This window comes from Homo sapiens, chromosome 17 (genome assembly GCF_000001405.40).
Source record: "Homo sapiens chromosome 17, GRCh38.p14 Primary Assembly".
NCBI classification, from domain to species: domain Eukaryota; kingdom Metazoa; phylum Chordata; class Mammalia; order Primates; family Hominidae; genus Homo; species Homo sapiens.
This window is the reverse complement of record NC_000017.11, coordinates 2,661,579-2,681,480: the sequence shown is the minus strand read 5'-3', so window position 1 is coordinate 2,681,480 and position 19,902 is coordinate 2,661,579. Positions and strand designations below refer to the sequence as shown.

General features: G+C 41.7%; 1 protein-coding gene and 1 pseudogene across 8 annotated transcripts in view; both read right to left on the bottom strand.

Moving 5' to 3' along the window:
• PAFAH1B1 (platelet activating factor acetylhydrolase 1b regulatory subunit 1) overlaps positions 1-19,902 on the bottom strand; it is a 92,433-nt gene that overhangs the window by 4,135 nt on the left and 68,396 nt on the right. For 4 of the 8 annotated variants that reach the window (XM_017024701.2, NM_000430.4, XM_047436163.1 and 1 more), the window contains exons 3-10: positions 16,025-16,109; positions 15,391-15,465; positions 14,283-14,489; positions 11,150-11,318; positions 8,724-8,826; positions 7,193-7,421; positions 4,875-4,976; positions 1,161-1,317 (exon numbers count right to left, since the gene is read on the bottom strand). In XM_017024701.2, the coding sequence (XP_016880190.1) occupies positions 1,161-1,317; positions 4,875-4,976; positions 7,193-7,421; positions 8,724-8,826; positions 11,150-11,318; positions 14,283-14,489; positions 15,391-15,465; positions 16,025-16,109 (1,127 nt within the window). Of the gene's footprint in view, positions 1-1,160; positions 1,318-4,874; positions 4,977-7,192; positions 7,422-8,723; positions 8,827-11,149; positions 11,319-14,282; positions 14,490-15,390; positions 15,466-16,024; positions 16,110-18,646; positions 18,701-19,902 lie in introns of all 8 variants that reach the window. The other 4 variants (XM_011523901.3, XM_011523902.4, XM_011523903.3 and 1 more) reach the window with 2 other exon arrangements.
• Positions 247-525, bottom strand: RN7SL608P (RNA, 7SL, cytoplasmic 608, pseudogene; annotated as a pseudogene).

Below are 19,902 nucleotides of genomic sequence, written 5' to 3'. Positions count from 1 at the left end.
CCAACCCTCCATCACACTGAGCCAGATACAATTTTTAATGAGCCACAAAATTCTAAGAAAGTCCAAATGCCAGTAGTTTTCGTGTTTCTCTAATATACCATAACCCAAGAAGGTATCTAGTTTGCCAATTCAGTTAGGGAAGTTGAGACTCAATGATCAAATCCTGTATTAACATCTCAATAAAAACGCCTGTTCCTCTTTGGCCCATCCCAAATGGGGCTCAAATCCTTTTTCTTCTTTTTTCAAAGGCAGGGTCTCACTATGTTGCCCAGGCTGGAGTGCAGTGGCTGTTCAAAGGTGCGATCCCACTACTGATCAGCAAGGGAGTTTTGACCTGCTCTGTTTCTGACCTGGGCCAGGTCACCCCTCCTTAGGCAACCTGGGAGTCTCCTGTTCCCAGGAGGTCACCATATTGATGCTGCACTTAGTGCAAACATCCCATCAGCACAGCACACTGTAACCCAGAACTCCTGGGCTCAAGCAATCCTCCAGCCTCAGCCTCCTGAGTAGCTGGGACTAAGGCACAGCAGGGCTCAAATCTAACAATACACAGTCTCGCCATATCCATTTACTGAACACGATGTTCCAGGCATGGCATAAATGCTCCGTATTTGTGCCTAATCCTTGAACCAATCCTGTGAGGCAGGTATTAGCCCACCTTACGCAGGCTTTGGTCCATTATACTTTAGTGCATTTATTATACTTGACTGTATTCACTCTCTTAAATTCCAGATTCAAGTCCAGATGATAGTGAGGATGTTTACTCAAATCAAATACAATTTTCTGAGTTTCTAGTATCTGATAGTATACACCTGCCAGTGGGAAAGGTTGAGGAAGATTTTGTTTGAGAAACAAACTAATAGGGGAGAAAAATTACCCATCAGAGTGGTAAGTAACCTCTTCACAAATTGTGGTTTCCAAAACCAATGTTGTGCAGTGGAGAAAGTAATGTTTTTATTATAAGGCTAACGATGGAAAGAGTTAACGGGAAAGGAGAATTTAAAACAAATGGTAGGAATCCACAAGATTTTCATGTCTTCTCTATTCTGCCCTGAAAGCACAGTCATTTCTTACCTGGCAAAGTCCACACGATTATGTAAAACACAGTTTGTCTGGCACTCCAAAATCTAATGTTCAGAGACCTCGCGAGGCGTACATACCCAAGGAGGTAACAAAGTGTTCATGCGCATTGAGGGTCTTCATGCATCGCTTGTTCTTGTAATCCCATACGCGTAGGGTCTTGTCATCAGCACAACTCAAAATAAACTTCCCCCCAGAATGGAACAGAACTCCACGTACCCAGTTATCATGACCCACCTTAAAAACAAAAAAGTTATTTGACTCAGTAAAAGGCAAAATGTTTAAATAGCATCTATTTCATAATACGATAAAACTATACATACCAAAAACATCAAAAGACCAGAAGAAAATAAAAGTCTAGGGGATTCTAGATTAAAGGAAACTGAAAACTCATAAGACATGAGGAGTGAATATAACGTACGATCCCTGACTGGGTCCTGGATGAGGGTTAAAAAGAAGTCCCGCAGGGCATTATGGAAATAACAAGAACAAATCTCAATATGTAGTCTATCAATGGTAAATTTCTTGAGTGTGAATAATTTTATTTTGGTTATTTATATACTATCCTTGTTCTTAGGTGGTTCATGCTAAAATACTTGGGGGTAAAGTGTTACGATGTCTGCAAAGAACGCTCAAATGATTTCAGCAAAATATACACACATACATGAAGGAAAACCAACAAATGGTAACTAAGTGAAGGATATACAGGCATTCACTATATATCTATATATCCATCCATCCATCCATCCATCCATCCATCCATCCATCCAATCATCCAATCATCCATCCATCCACCCACCCACCCATCTATCTATCCATCCAATCATCCATCTAATCATCCATCTAATCATCCATCCATCCATCCATCCATCCAATCATCCATCCATCCATCCATCCAATCATCCATCCATCCATCCATCCAATCATCCATCCATCCATCCAATCATCCATCTATCCATCCAACCATCCAATCATCCATCTATCCATCCATCCAATCATCCATCCATCCATCCATCCAATCATTCATCCATCTAATCATCCATCCATTTAATCATCCATCCATCTATCCATCCATATTTCCCCTGTCGCAGCAGTTCTGTTCTTGCAATTTATCTTTAAGGACATGCCCAGAGATTTAGTTAGCAAAGATGTTCACAAAGCATTGTCTGTAGATCAGTGTAGAAGAGCATCTAACAACATAAGCAAGGATCACATACTTTCTAAATTAAAGGTTTGCTACAAAGCTACCTTAAGGGGCATGATACCATTTTTATAAAAAATAGCACATTCATCTACACATTAAAGAAAAAGGCTTAGAACTGCACAGTTGAACATGGTAGCTACTGTCCATGTACGCCTACTTTAATATATAATATTAAGATTACATACAACCAACAATTCAGTTCTTCAGTCTCACTAGCCACATTTCAAGAGTATAATAGCTGCATGTGGCTAGTAGCTACCACGCTGGATAGTGCAGTTATAGCACAGCACTGCAAAATTTTGTTTTGTTTTAAAAAGAGACAGCAACTCTGTTGCCCAGGCTGGAGTATAGTGGCATGATCACGGCTCACTAAAGCCTCAAATTCCTGGGTTCAAGTAATCCTCCTGCCTTAGCCTCCCAAGTAGCTAGGACTATAGGCATGCATCATCATGCATGACTAATTTTTAAACTTTTATTTTGGTAGAGACAGGGTCTTGTTATGTTGCTCAGGCTGGTCTCAAACTCCTGGGCTCCTCCTGCCTTGGCCTCCCAAAGTCCTGGGATTACAGGTGTGAGCCACTGTGCCTGGCCAAGAGTATGTTTTTCTTGTTTCTTTTCTTTTTTTTTCCTGGAGACAGAGTCTTACTTCACTGCCCAGGATGGAGGGCAATGGTGCGATCTCGGCTCACTGCAACCTCCGTCTCCCAGGTGCAAACGATTCTCAAGCCTCAGCCTCCCGAGTAGCTGGGATTACAGACGTGCGCCACCATGCCCGGGTTTTTTTTTTTTTTTTTTTGAGATGGTTTCACTCTTGTTGCCCAGGCTGGAGTACAATGGCGTGATCTTGGCTCACTGCAACCTCCGCCTCCCAGGTTAAAGTGATTTGCCTGCCTCAGCCTTCCCAAGTAGCTGGGATTACAGGCATGTGCCACCATGCCTGGCTAATTTTGTGTTTTTAGCAGCGATGGGGTTCCTCCATGTTGGTCAGGCTGGTCTCGAACTCCCAACCTCAGGTGATCCACCCATCTCGGCCTCCCAAAGTGCTGGGATTACAGGCGTGAGCCACCGCGCCTGGCCACGCCCGGCTAATTTTTGTAATTTTAGTAGAGACGGGGTTTCACCATGTTGGCCAGGCTGGTCCTGAACTCCTGACCTCAGGTGATCCACCTGCCTCAGCCTCCAAAAGTGCTGGGATTGCAGGAGTGAGCCACTGCGCCTGGCCTGCTTTATTTTAATTATATATCATCTTTTCTTAACAGCAACATGGTATAGCTGAACTCCGCTCAGAATACTACTAGAGGAGAGTTTCATTTTCTTTTTATTTATTTATTTATTTATTTTTTGAGGCGGAGTCTCGCTCTGTCGCCCAGGCTGGAGTACAGTGGTGCCATCTCCGGTCACTGCAAGCTCCGCCTCCCGGGTTCACGCCATTCTCCTGCCTCAGCCTCCCAAGTAGCTGGGACTACAGGCACCCGCCAGGATGCCCGGCTAATTTTTTGTATTTTTAGTAGAGACGGGGTTTCACCATGTTAGCCAGGATGGTCTCAATCTCCTGACCTCGTGATCTGCTCGCCTCGGCCTCCCAAAGTGCGGGGATTACAGGCGTGAGCCACCGTGCCCGGCCGAGAGTTTCATTTTCTAATCAGTTCTTGAAGATGCTTCCACATATGTCTGTCATATCCTACAGAGAGACAATCACTTCAAGGTATCATTAGCACCTAAAAAATCTCTAAACAAATGTGGATGCCAAATTATAAAAACTACTACTAAACAAACATCCACAGATCTCCTTGGAACTCCTTTAGGCACATAGGAATGTCCACAATCCCTTACTAGTATTGACATATCTTTCTATGGAAATACAGATGCTCCTAAATAAGCCAAATAAACTAGATCATGTGAGCAAGGAGGTATAACAGTTAAAAGGATTCATATAAATAAAGTGAAACAGAGAAACAAACATCTTCAACAGTGAACAGGTCTCTAAGAATGCTGCTTTTTCTCCGTAAGAGATATTACACATTTGTTTTATTTTATTTTTTTTGAGATGGAGTCTCACTCTGTCGCCCAGGCTGGAGTGCAGTGGCACAATCTCGGCTCACTGCAAGCTCCACCTCCCGGGTTCACGCCATTCTCCTGCCTCAGCCTCCCGAGTAGCTGGGACTACAGGCGCCCGCCACCACGCCCAGCTAATTTTTTGTATTTTTTGGTAGAGACGGGATTTCCCCAAGTTAGCTCGATCTCCTGACCTCGTGATCCACCCGCCTCGGCCTCCCAAAGTGCTGGGATTACAGGCGTAAGCCACCGCGCCCGGCCGAGATATTACACAATTTTTAAAGATACAGTGAGCTAGCAGCATCTCCCCCTCAAACACCGACTGGCTCTACAGATTCTTTATAGAATCTGCATTCTAGAGAAATAACTTTCACATCACTATAACAACAACAAAAGCTAAAGGAAAACTATCTTTATAAAGAAGTTATTTTAAAGCCCAGAATAATTCAGATTATTTAAGATATCATAAAGCATTAATCCAAAAAGGTATAAACAGTGAAGATGCAAAAGAAATGGTAAGATTATGCAAACTTACGAGGGTCATAAGGCACATGCCAGTACTGACATCCCACATCTTAATAGTCTTGTCTCTGGATCCAGACAGCAAGAATGGCCCAGGTTTACCACTTTTTTTAGTCTACAGAAAACATAATAAAAATTAAGTTTCCCACACAAGAAGTTAGGTATGGACTTTAAATGGCTTCTATCTAATAATGATATATATTTCCAATTTTTTTGTTGCATTTTGGTTTTTTGTTTGTTTTCAGACGGAGTCTGGCTCTGTCACCCAGGCTGGAGTACCGTGGTGCAATCTTGGGTCACTGCAACCTCCGCCTCCCGGGTTCAAGCGAATCTCCTGCCTCAGCCTCCCAAGTAGATGTGATTACAGGCACGCACCACCACATGTGGCTAATTTTTGTATTTTTAGTAGAGATGGGGTTTTGCCATGTTGGGCAGGCTGGTCTTGAACTCCTAACCTCAGATGATCGATCGGCCCACCTCGGCCTCCCAAAGTGCTGGAATTACAGGCGTGAGCCACTGCGCCCAGCCCAATTTGTTTTTATCTGTTGAAATACACAAGTCTTTCACACCATACCTATGCTACACAGGAAGGACTCAGATAATGTAAGAACAGAAGTCTCTATTTAGGTTAGGACTCAGTTTTCATAAAACCAACAGATAATAAATTTACTTTTCAAGATTTCTGTAATCACTATTTAATTTAACTTTTACAAATCCAACCAAAACCAAATTTACTTATTTATTTTTTTGATCTGGATTAGGGAATATTTATTTATTTCAAGACAGGGTCTCATTCTGTCACCCAGGCTGGAGTGCAGTGGAACAATCATAGCTCACTGCAGCTTTGAACTCCTGGGATCAAGCAATCTTCCTGTCTCAGTCTCCCTAGTGGCTGGGACTACAGGAGTGTACCACCACACCTAGCTAAGTTTTTGAAAATTTTTTCCGTCATTAGTATAGTGGTGAGTTTAAAAAAAAAAAAAAAGTTTTCTGTAGAGACGGGGTCTCGCTATGTTGCTCAAACTCCTGGGCTCAAGTGATCCTCCTGCCTTGACTTCCCAAAGTGCTGGGATTACAGGCGTGAGCCACCACACCAGAATCAAATTTATGACATACAGCATGTAACCACCACCAGAGGGCAGTAAACAGAATCTCAAAATGCAATGGGCCAATCAAAATAAAGAGAACTCACAAGAGAAGATTCATTTAGAAAAATAAGTGGGATGGGGGTAGAGGGAGAGGAAACTGCCTCCTTTGTTTATTGACATGTAGTTTTAAAAATACATGATAGGAATGCCTCTGTCAAAATCAATGTGAAGCCAGGCACAGTGGCTCACACCTGTAATCCCAGAACTTTGGGAAGCTGAGGTGGTCGGATCACTTGAGGCCATGAGTTTGAGAGCAGCCTGGCCAACATGGCAAAACCTTGTTTCTACTAAAAATATAAAAATTAGCTGGCAGGGTGGTACATGCATCCGTGGTCCCAGCTACTCAGGAGGCTGAGGCAGGAGAATCGCCTGAACCTGGGAGGCGGAGGTTGCAGTGAGCCGAGATCACGCTACTGTACTCCAGCCTGGGCAACAGAGTGAGACTGTCTCAAAAACAAACAAAAGTTTTAGACCATTCATTTTCATTCATTTATTAGAAACAGGGATCTTGCTATGTTGTCCCAGGCTGAACTTTAACTTCTGGACACAAGTGATCCTCTTGCCTCAGCCTCCTGAGTAGCTAGGACTATAGCCATGTGCCGCTGTACCTTGTAATTTTTAACATATTAATAATAAAGACCAAAACCATAAAGATCACAAAGAAATGCGTTAAAACTCCAGGCTCAGCTAGTACTTTTAAATGATCAAGAACATCAGAGGCTGCCATATGGATTAGTCTTCATTTAAAAAAACATTTATACTATCACATCTGGAATTAATTTTAAAAAATAAATACTGAACTGCATTTTACCATAAATTTATAAATAAAATCATTATCTTCATTAATGAAGGCTATTTTTCTGACAGAAAACTTTAACCTCTCCCTCAGGTTTTGTTTTACATTGAGATGATCTCATAACACTGATTTTTCTGATAAATTTTAATTCTTTAGGAGAATACCCATCACGTATCAAATCAAGGATAGGCTGACAGCAATAATCATCACTGGTTAAATAATGTAAACACATCAGCAAGCTGTGAAGAGTAGAGAATTTCAAGATTCAGAATTGCTGGATGCAGATTTTTAAATGCATTAACAGCCCTGAAACAGGGAATTAGCAAAGTTATCTAAGGACTTCAGATATCAGCAATAAAACCATGAAGACATTTGTATATACAGTACCTCAGATCCTGTTGCTTCAGAGATGGAGGAATATGAGCTTTCTGGAGCCCAGGAAATGCATTCTACCACATGCTCATGCTCTCGGAGCTCAGCCTTGCATTCCTTTGTTGCTACGACCCATACACGCACAGTCTGGTCATTGGAACAGCTGGCTATCAGAGTGCCATCTTGATTTGGCCGTACCATACGTACCCATTCTCTGTGTCCTGTGAATGTCTTCACACAGTAGCTGTCAATATAAATAATAACTTACACTGTGAATGACAATCATCAGGACACTTCCCAGAAGTGATATAAAAATATGTACTGGGATGAAGAGAATGGTACCAAGTTAGAGATGCAAGTCGACAGAATAAATGTACAATCCTGGTTAATTAAAGTAGGAACAATAAGCTAACAGACATATCATTAAGGAGCTAATAAAATCAACATCTAGAAGATAAAATATGTATAAGAAATAAAATCTTTCAAAACTAAATGCACACTTAAAAGTATTTCCAGCCATATTGGAAAAAAGCTATGCTCTACTAATCTGAGTAAAACTAGTAACTTTGTACTACAAAAATCAAGTGTAATTCTATGCACAACCAAATTCAGCCTAACAGAGGTATACCAGCACAAAGATTATTTACTTTTTGTTTTTTTTTTTTGAGACGGAGTCTCGCTCTGTCGCCCAGGCTGGAGTGCAGTGGCGCGATCTCGGCTCACTGCAGGCTCCACCTCCCAGGTTCACGCCATTCTCCTGCCTCAGCCTCCCGAGTAGCTGGGACTACAGGCGCCCGCCACCACGCCCGGCTAATTTTTTGTATTTTTAGTAGAGACGGGGTTTCATCGTGTTAGCCAGGACGGTCTCGATCTCCTGACCTCATGATCCGCCCGCCTCTGCCTCCCAAAGTGCTGGGATTACAGGCGTGAGCCACCGCGCCCGGCCAAAGATTATTTACACTTTAATTTAAACCCACAGAGAGATCACCTAAAAGAAGACCACAGAGGAAATAAGCCATTACACAGAAATGCTTCTCAAGGACATAGAGTCTCTCCTTACAATGTCTCTGTGCTCCTTTTTGGGAGACATGTACAGATCAAACTTAGTTTTAAAGTATATTTAATATGACTGTCATAATGATCATTCCGGGTTAAAGTCGAAGTGACTGCAACACCAGAACACAATTTTGTTTTTTATAAATATGTCTTTAAGCTGATGCCTTTTCTTTTTTTTTGAGACGGAGTCTCACTCTTGTTGCCCAGGCTAGAGTGCAATGGCACGATCTCGGCTCACTGCAACCTCCACCTCCCAGGTTCAAGTGATTCTCCTGTCTCAGCCTCCCAAGTAGCTGGGAATACAGGTGTGCGCCACCACACCCGGCTAATTTTTGTATTTTTAGTAGAGATGGGGTTTCATCATGTTGGCCAGGCTGGTCTTCAATTCCTGACCAGGTGATCTGCCCACCTTGGCCTCCCAAAGCGCTGGGATGACAGGTGTGAGCCACTGCACCTGGCCGCTGATGCCTTTTCAACTAAACTTACTTACCCAGTTTGCACTTCCCACATTTTTATAGTTTTATCCCTTGAGGCAGACACTATATGATCTCCATTGGGCATGATGGCTACTGAAGAAACATTGTGGTCATGGCCTAAAACACATAACAGCAATATATTATGAAGTAATATACCACCAAGAGCAATGAAACATCAATTGACCATGGGATTTTACCATGGGGTTTCACTATGTCAAAGCAAGTTCTAAATACACTGGATTTTATACAAATTGGATAAGAAACCTGGATTTACACGATAAAGTTAAAAAAATCAGTAAAACAACAACCCACAAGGAAATAGTCAACTCCATTTAGGATTAAATTTCAACCTGTACAAATGGTTTAAAAACAAAAGGCATCACGATTATCAACATTTGAATATATTCATATACTTACCTCAGTGAGTCTGAATGTTTACATATGAACGCTAGGGAAACATTTTTTTTTTTTTTTTTTTTTTTTTTTGTGAGGCAAGGACTTGCTCTGTTACCCAGGCTAAAGTGCAGTGGTGCAATCATAGCTCACTGTAGCCTTGAACTCCTGGGCTCAAGAGCTCTTCCCGCCTCAGCCTGTCGGGTAGCTGGAACTACACAGGTGTGTACCACCACATCTGGTACCACCACACCCACAACTATTTTATTTTTTGTAGAGACAAGGTCTCCATATTTTGCTCACACTGGTCTCGAACTCCTGTCCTCAAGCAATCCTTCCTGCCTTGGCCTCCAAAAGTGCTGAGATTATAGGTGTGAGCCACTGTGCCTAGCTTCTAGGTTGATATTCTAAGATATAAAAAAGATAAAGCAAATGGATACAAAAAATGGGGAATTGGTTCTCTGTTTAAAATGGTGGGCCAGGCGCAGTGGTTCATGCCTGTAATCCCAGCACTTTGGGAGGCCGAGGCGGGCGGATCACCTGAGGTCAGGAGTTCAAGACCAGCCTGGCCAATATGGTTAAACCCTGTTTCTACTAAAAATAAAAAAGTTAGCCGGGTGTGGTGGTGCTTGCCTGTATTGCCAGCTACTTTGGAGGCTGAGGTGGGAGAATCATTTGAACCTGGGAGGTGGAGGTTGCAGTGAGCAAAGATTGTGCCACTGTACTCCAGCTTGGGTGACAAAGCAAGAGGCCATCTCCAGAAAAAAAAAAAAAAAAAAAAAGGTGGTGTTGGGGGTAAAAAAAAAAAATGCATTAGAAAGAACTCTTTTTAAAGTTACAGCTAGAAGATACAGGCAACTTAAAGAAAAATAAATGATAGACCTTACGTGGCTCACGCCTATAATTCCAGCACTTTGGGAGGCTGAGGCAGATCAGGAGGTCAGGAGTTCGAGACCAGCTTGACCAACATGGTGAAACCCCGTCTCTACTAAAAATACAAAAATTAGACGGGCGTGGTGGCGCGTGCCTATAATCCTAGATACTCAGGAGGCTGAGGCAGGAGAATCACTTAAACCTGGGAGGCGGAGGTTGCAGTGAGCCAAGATTGTGCCACTGCACTCCAGCCTGGGCGACAGAGTGAGACACAGTCTCAAAAAAAAAACAACCAAAAAACAACAACAAAAAAACAGTGTTCATGCGTGGAATTCCTGTAATTATAAACTTCCCCAATGCATTTAATTTGGGACAGAGAAAACACAACCTTCAAATTATGCCCTCTAGGTAAACACAGTTTACTCATGTGTTAACGTGTTCCTTGTACAAAATCCCAACATTCAAATGTCATCATGTATAAAGAAACAACAAAAATCCCTAAGTAATGAGCATCTCCTATGTGGCAGGTACTACACCAAGATGATTTATCTTATGACTTCATCTTATCCTCATGACAACTCTATGACTCTGGTATTATTACCTCTGTTTTGCAGATGAAAGAGGTTTAAATTTTCTAATACCGTAAGTAGACAAGTAGGAATTTGAACCCAGGTGTCTGACTCCAAAGCAAATTACTCTCTTTCCACAAAACATACTGCCTCAGAAAACAGTTCCCACAACAAGACCCGGGAAATAATGAACGAGGGCATGGGGTCTGTGCGCTCAGCTCATTTCACTTAAGTGAGCAAGAGAATCTGGGCTCGTTTTCACTCGACCTACTCTCTCTGGACTTCAGTTTCCCAACTAACAAAAATTAAAACACAAACAAAACCATTTTTAACTCAAATACAGATAAATGACCTGGCAGTTTTTCTTACCAAGAAATACTCATACAAATATTTTATGTAAAGTACTAAAAGATACTTAAAACTTCCTAATAGAAAGCACTCTCAACTACTGTGGCTTATCCCTGGACTATCTACATGGTATGCTCTTCCACCAATACTGACAATTAAGAGGTGAATAAAGGAACACTGTACACTGTTAGAAACAATATTCCTTCTGAAGTACCATGATAGAAATTACTGTTAAAGCACTATCCTCTACCCCTTACCGTGCATGGTTCTGATGCATTCAAAGCCCTGAAAATCCCATAGTTTAATGGTCATATCTGCAGAACAGGAAGCCAGAAGCTTGCCGCTGTGGTCGAATGAAATGTCCTGTACAGAGTCTGTATGTCCTTTAAGAGTTCGTTCAAAATCTCCAGTCTCATAATCCCACACCTGTCAAGTGAACAGAAAATTGGTTAACACCAACTCCATCACTCCTTTCTTGTTTCACATTTGCACTCAGCAGGCCAGTCTGGCACCTTACTGAGTAACTAACCGAACAAGTAACAAAGGATAACTATTTTAGAAATATTGTATCTCATGTATAAATTGGTCTTTTTTTCTACAGGGAAAACTAATGTTGCAATTATTAAAATCTATCTCTAGAACCACATTTATAAGGTTTCTATCACATAACCAACTGTAATAGTGATAAGGTATATAAAGTCACAAGACATAGTCCGCTCCCTGTCTCAGAGCAGGAATGACATGTAAATAAGGAAACTTAAGGGGAAGAAATAAGAGGAAAGAAAGAGAAAGAGATGGAAAGGAAAGGGAAAGAAAGGGGAAAGGGAAGGGGAAGGGAAGGAGCTTCAGAGGGCTATAGCAGGCATTTGTATGTAGAATATTTGAGGAACAATGGATGAATACTCGATCCTACTAGACCATCAGAACTCAGACATCTAAAGGGCCAAGGAAAGATTTCAGAAGATGTTAACTGTTCACGAATAGCAAATGAACAAGAGCATATGTCATTTTGAGTTAAAAAATGAAATATGGCCGGGCGCAGTGGCTCACGCCTGTAATCCCAGCACTTAGGAAGGCCAAGGCGGGCGGACCACGAGGTCAGTTCGAGACTATCCTGGCTAATATGGTGAAACCCCGTCTCTACTAAAAAACACAAAAAATTAGCCAGGCACAGTGGTGGGCGCCTGTACTCCCGGCTACTCGGGAGGCTGAGGCAGAATTGCTTGAACCTGGGAGGCGGAGGCTGCAGTGAGCCAAGATCATACCACTGCACTCCAGCCTGGGTAACAAGAGTGAAACTCCATCTCAAAAAAAAAAAAAAAATTCTAATTGCTGGCTAAATCACTATTATAGAAAACATTATAGTGAACATTTTTTAATATAAAAAAATTCTGTCCTCATTTTATAATACCTAGGTCAGACAGTAATGGGGAGAAACAATTAGTGGGTCAAAAAGTATAAACTTTTAAAGCCTTCATATACTCTATTAAATTGATATCCCGTAAGACTGTATCATATGTAATGAGAATGACTACTTTATCAAAATCTTATCATCACTGGGAATTCTTATTTAATAGGTAAAATACCTTGACAATTTGACACACATATATATGTATGTGTGTCTCACTCTTGTCGCCCAGGCTGGAGTGCAGTGGCGCGATCTTGGCTCACTGCAAGCTCCGCCTCCCGGGTTCACGCCATTCTCCTGACTCAGCCTCCCGAGTAGCTGGGACTACAGGAGCCCGCCATCACTCCCGGCTAATTTTTTGTATTTTTTAGTAGAGACGGGGTTTCACCATGTTAGCCAGGATGGTCTCGATCTCCTGACCTCATGATCCACCCACCTTGGCCTCCCAAAGTGCTGGGATTACAGGCATGAGCTACCGTGCCCAGTCCAATTTTTTTGTTTTTAAGACAGGGTCTCACTCTTCGCCCAGGCTGGAGTACACTGGCTCAATCATAGCTCACTGCAGCCTCCAACTCCCAGGCTCATGTGATCCTCCCATCTCAGCCTCCTGAGTAGCTAGGACTACAGGCATGCACCACCATACCTGGCTAATTTTAAGTAGAGACGAGGTCTTGCTATGTTGCCCAGGCTGCTCTCTAACTCCTGAGCTCAAGCAGTCCTCCCACCTTGGCCTCCCAAAGTCCTAGGACTATAGGCATGAGCTACCACACCCGGCCCATAATTTCAGTGTTTATTTCTTCTGCTGTTAGTAGTAAGGCCAAACCGTCGTTACTATTTGGTTAGTTGTAACTACCTTTTTGAGACAGTCTCGCTCTGTCGCCCAGGCTGGAGTGCAGTGGAGCGATCTTGGCTAACTGCAACCTGTCTCCTGGGTTCAAGCGAATTTCCTGCCTCAGCCTTCCAAGTAGCTGGGACTACAGGCGCACGCTGCCATGCCCAGCTAATTTTTTTGTATTTTAGTAGAGATGGGGTTTCTCCGTGTTGCTCAGGCTGGTCTTGAACTCCTGAGCTCAGGCAATCCACCCGCCTCGGCCTCCCAAAGTGCTGGGATTACAGGCGTGAGCCACCGTGCCCGGCCGATTGGTTATACTTTTGTAAATGAAACTTAATATCTGTAACTTACTTTGAAATAACCCTTAGGATAGAGGCATCTACCTAAATCTACCTATATTGCAACTATCTTATCTTTCTGTAGGTGGTTTATACAACGGTCATTTTATTGTGTCCGGAACAAAGGCAACTTAAAAACAACTCTTTTCCTAATTAAAAAAGCACAACATTAAAAGGTAATAATATTTTTACTGTGAAAAAAATTTTTTAATGAAATACGTAATTTATAAAATGAAAAGCTTGTATATTCCCACACTCCTGGAAAGCCAATTTTAAATACATCAAGGAAAGCCCAATTTAAATGAATCCTCTACTGAATTCTTTTGCAGTATAGATTCACCCTATCAATTACTAGTTTTGTCAATCAGTATTTCACACATAACCTCCGTTTAAAGGTAAGACACACACTTTTCATTCTCCAAGAACAAAAATTGTTCAAGCACAAGGTGATGTACTGACATCAACTCAGTTAGTGACACCCGACTTTCTCAAATTCACCATCAAACTTACCTGGCAGCATGCCTCTCAGGAGCCACAATGATATTTTATTCCAATTCTGTCTTTTAAGATTTAGAACCAAATCACACGTTTCAGAGTACCTCCTGTCCCTCTTCATAGGCCCTCATTTTCAGGATCTTTTAATTTTCTTCACCCTATTAAGTCTGCTTTTTTTTTTTGAGACAGAGTGTGGCTCTGTCGCCCAGGCTGGAGTGCAGTGGTGCAATCTCGGCTCACTGCAAACTCCGCCTCCCGGGTTCATGCCATTCTCCTGCTTCAGCCTCCCGTTAAGTCTGCTTTTAACAAAAAATTACCTTAATTGTAGCATCCTCTGAAGCAGAGACCATAACACTGAACACAGGATGGAAAATGACTCGAGTGACTGGACTCCTGTGACCACTCAATGCATATTTTTCTGGCGGACGGGGAATCCATTCTTTTGGGTCTCGTTTCTGACCAAGAGGTCCACCTGACGTAAATTCTTCTTTTGCTTCATTTAGCTTTGATTCTAATTCCATAACCTTGAAAAAGAACATGTAGTTACGTACAGATAGATTTCAATAAAAATAGCATGTGACATTTTAAAAAACTGCCTTTATTTTGCAACTATGTATGTAGGATACTTGAAAAAATTTCAGTAATCTCCAAAGCATTTGTCAAATTTAAATGAAAATTATTTATTTTGTACAGCATCAAAATCTAAGTCATGTGAGGAAACTAAAAATTGAGAAAAATTCAGTACAATTGCCTTAACTCTTTAACAAAAAGAAAAATTTCGATTTGTATCTGGTGACAGAGTCCTCTACTAATTAGAGAAGGGCAGTGAATTTGTCTTGGTCCCTCTAAGGCTGCTACTCTTAGTAAGTTCTTTCCAAACCACATTATATATGGTAATAATAATATTAATAAAAGCTAATATTTATTGAGCATCTACTATGTGCTAAGCATTTTTCTAAGAGCTTTATATGATGAACTCATAACAATGTTATTTACTTATTCTAACTTTGCCTATGAAGTATCCATTTTAGGACTGGAATATTATTTGTTGTATTTACAGATAAAAATAAAAGCTCAGAGATAAAAACAACTTGTCTACGAGCACATTTTAGTGTTCTTTTCCCAGCATTAATCACAATGGCTCCATGTATTCTTTCCTTCTAAGTGCACAAATGAGTTCTTTCAGTATCAATTCCTCAAAGTCAGGACTATGCAGATTGAACCCAGTCAGCAACTCCAGATATGTGAATTACCATGTATCTGCAATAATATGCCTAGGTCATACTTTTCATGAAGCACAAAAAATGTATTTTTATTTGCTTTTTAAAGATTAGATGCAATTATTAATTAATGCAGAAGAATGTTATTTTCAGAAAGTTTATATAACTGAATACAACTAATTTTAAAGAAAAAAGACTTAGTTACCTTCTTTTGTAATCTAATAACAGATGTCCATTTTTTTTCCAAAAGACCAGCATACTTTTTATCTAATTCTTCATTCTAGAGAAAATAAATTTAGAATTTTTAAAAAATGGCTTAACTATGATCCTCAAGACAAAGATCATTCATCTTTAAGTCCAAATATTACTAAAAATCTGATTATAAAAAAAGGGAGTGGCTGGGCATGGTGGCTCACCTGTAATCCCAGCACTTTGGGAAGCTAAGGCGGGTGGATCACCTGAGGTCTGGAGTTTGAGACCAGCCTGGCCAACATGGCGAGACCCCGTCTCTACTAAAAATACAAAAATTAGCTGGGTGTGGTGGTGCGTGCCTGTAATCCCAGCTACTCGGAAGGCTGAAGTAGGAGAATCGCTTGAATCTGGGAGGCAGAGGTTGCAGTGAGCCGAGATCACGCCACTGCACTCCAGCCTGGGAGACAAAGTGAGACTCCATCTCAAAAATTAAAATAAAAAATAAAAAAAAAAGGAGTGAAAATCAAGTTCAGTACCAAGTAGACCACAATAACAAATGACAAAATTGTGCGTAACTGTTAACTACAGATACTTGAGTGAAAATCCACTCATTAACTATACTTTGAATTGTAAAAAGTAAAACATACCACATCTAATTCAGCTTCCTTTTTAAAAACTGAATATGCCTCTTCATAGCCATTTGAACGAAGATAATCTGCTATAGCTCGATTTCTGAAAGAAAAATTCAAATGACTCCTAAAAAAAAGACCTCATTTCTATTCTGAAGAAATAGAATTTATTTAAAATCTCATTAACCCTGAAGATACTCTTTTCAAGAGTATTCCCTTTCAAATCATACAAGTATTTCATTAAAAAGGACACCCCCGCAAAGCCTCCAGAACTTTTAGCCCCTGTCATACTACATCCATAATATTATATTCTTAGTTATAAGTTTTTCTTTCTTTTTTTTAACATCAGAAGAGAAACTTCATATTTATAAGTTTCAAATGTGTTGCTTACCTCACAAGCTGTAGGCACTCTATAGATCAAGCTATGGCTCTGTGACAGCAACCATCAATTTTGCTAACATTTACATTTAGTCTTTCTTTACCACTTGTTATACACTCAAGGGCTGACAGCTGGAATTTAGTTTTGCAGAGAAAAGTTTTGAGAAAACTAAAGTATTTTCATATTAGAAATAACTTTGAACCATTGGAGTGGGTGAAAAAAAGCAATCATACAGTATAAACTTAGTGTACTGTCGTAGAATGAGACATTCATTTAGAATTAGAACTTGAAGGTTAGAGAAGCTGAATTAGCCTTTTCATGTTTGCCTTCTACAGTTTGAGTACCCTTTATACAAAATGCTCGGGACCAAAAATGTTTTGGGCTTTATAGATGGAGAGAGAAAGAGAGAGAGAGAGAGAGAGAGAGAGAGCGATAGATAGATATAGATATATATCACAAAGTCAGGAGTTGGAGACCAGCCTGGCCAACATGGTGAAACCCCGTCTCCACTAAAAATACAAAAATTAGCTGGCGTGGTGGCAAGCCCCTGTAATCCCAGCTACTCGGGAGGCCAAGGCAGAAGAATTGCTTGAACCCGGGAGGCGGAGATTGCAGTGAGCCAAGACCGCATCACTGCACTCTAGCCTGGGCAACAGAGCAAGATTCCTTCTCAAAAAAAAAAAAAAAAGGCCAGGTGTGGTGGCACATGCCTGTAATCCCACCTACTTGGGAAGCTGAGGCAGGAGAATCACTTGAACCTGGGAGGTGGAGGCTGTGGTGAGCCCAGTTCGTGCCACTGCACTCCAGCCTAGGCAACAACAGCGAAACTACGTCTCAAAATACAAAACAAAACACACTCCAGTAGTATTGTATAACTGGTGGGATTACTGGCTTTAATTCAATGGTATGTTTAAAACAAATCAGCAAAGAAAGATAACAGGGAATTACCAGCAAAAACTTTATGTTCCAGGTAATTATGAGCATGCCAAAAATCAACGTATAATAATTACAGGGTTAGGCCAGCGCAGTGGCTCACGTCTGTAATCCCAGCACTTTGGGAGGCCGAGGCGGGCAAATCACAAGGTCAGAAGTTCAAGACCAGAGGCTGGGAGCGGTGGCTCACGCCTGTAATCTCAGCACTTTGGGAGCCCGAGGTGGGCGCATCACGAGGTCGGGAGCTCGAGACCAGCCTGGCCAACATGGTGAAACTCCATCTCTACTAAAAATACAAAAATTAGCCAGGTGTGGTGGTATGCGCCTGTAGTCCCAGCTACTTGGAAGACTGACGCAGAATTGCTTGAACCCGGGAGGCAAAGGTTGCAGTGAGCTGAGACTGCACCACTGCACTCCAGCCTGGGAAACAGAGTGAAACTCTGTCTCAAAAAAAAAAAAAATCCAGAGAATTTTAGCACTACCACCTTTGATGCCCTGCCTCTCAATATTTAAGCCAACAATCTGATCCAGTTAATGTAGAACCTTTAACTTCAGCAAGGTGTACTACCGTTACTAAAAGTAATAAGTTAAGTAAAGACTGAAGAACCTCAGCAGGTGGCAGTGGCTCACACCTGTAATCCCAGCACTTTGGGAGGCTGAGGCGGGAGAATGGCTTGAGCCTGGCAGGTTGAGGTTGCAGCAAGCTGTGAGTGAGCCCCTGCATTCCAGCCTGCCTATCAGAGCAAGACCCTCTCTCAAAAAAACAACAAACAAAACAAAACAAAAACCCACAAAACTCTTGGTTCTAACAGCCTAAAGGGTGCTTCTGGGGCTTGCTACTAATCTCAGTTGTTGACCTAGAGTTGATTTTCATCAGCTTTATTTTATTTTATTTTTTGCTCTGTTGCCCAGGCTGGAGTGCAGTGGTGCGATCTCCACTCACGACAAGCTCTGCCTCCTGGGTTCACACCATTCTCCTGCCTCAGCCTCCCCAGTAGCTGGGACTACAGGTGCCCGCCACCACGCTTGGCTCTTTCTTTCTTTATTTAGAGACAGAGTTTCACTCTTATTGCCCAGGCTGGGGTGCAATGGCGTGATCTTGGCTCACCACAACCTCTGTCTCCCAGGTTCAAGCGATTCTCCTGCATCAGCCTCCAGAGTAGCTGGGATTACAGGCAGGTGCCACGATGCCCAGCTAATTTTGTATTTTTAGTAGAGACGGGGTTTCTCCATGTTGGTCAGGCTGGTCTTCTCAAACTCCTGACCTCAGGTGATCCGCCCACCTTGGCCTCCCAAAGTGTTGGGATTACAGGCGTTAGCCACTGTACCTGGCCTCATCAGCTTTATTAAGGATGGAATCTTCACCTCTTTGAAACCAGTCACTAGAATTAAAGAGAAATTCACACAGAAGTAAAATGGAGTAGACCAAAACCAGTAATACTATAAAGAATCAGAGAAGGCTGGGCGCAGTGGCCTACGCATGTAATTCCAGCACTTTGGGAGGCCCAGGAGGGCAGATCACTTGAGGACAGGAGTTCAAGAGCAGCCTGGCCAACATGGTGAAACCCCATCTCTACTAAAAATACAAAAAATTAGCCGGGTATGGTGGCAGGAGCCTGTAATCCCAGCTACTTGGGAGGCTGAGGCAGGAGAATTGCTTGAATCTGGGAGGCAAAGGTTTCGGTGAGCCAAGATTGCGTCACTGCACTCCAGCCTGGATGACAGAGTGAAACTCCGTCACACACACACACACACACACACACACACACACACACACACACACAAAGAGGTTAAAAAAATAAAAATGGTTAAGAAAAATAAAAAAGAAAATGGTTAAAATCAAAACTGAGATGAAGGACTTTTATCCATGAGCAAACAGATCCTAAGCTAGACACAGCCTAGGCTTAAATATCAAACTATTACAAACATAACGAATGAAATTATTTTCTAAACTATTACAAGTTTATGAAAATGCCAGCATTCGATTTTAAGCACTTTAGCTGACTTCCTACATTCTTTTCATTTGTTTTTATCCCCTAGGGTAATTTCTGCAGCTGTAATACTAGTCATAACACCTCATCAATACCACCCATAAGATTTTTTTTTTTTTTTTTTTTTTTGAGATGGAGTCTCCTCCAGGCTGGAGCGCAATGGCGCAAGCTCGGCTCACTGCAACCTCCGCCTCCTGGGTTCAAGCAATTCTCCTGCCTCAGCCTCCTGAGTAGCTGGGATTATAGGCACCCACCACCACGCCCAGCTAATTTTTTGTATTTTTTTGTAGAGATGGGGTTTCATCACGTCAGCCTCCCAGAGTGCTGGGATTACAGACATGAGCCACCACGCCTGGCCAATAATAGTATTTTACAAACTGTATACTCTAGCATTCTAAGAATGAAAAAGTTCTAAGAGTTCCGTAACCATTTTAATTTCATTGCTCATATGAAGAAAAAACAAGGTTAAGTCAAAGGCTGATGAACTGAGATGTTTTCTTACTAGACCCATTTAAAGAGATACACTAATAGCCAGGACAATCCTAAGCAAAAAGAACAAAGCTGGAGGCATCACACGTACTACCTGACTTCAA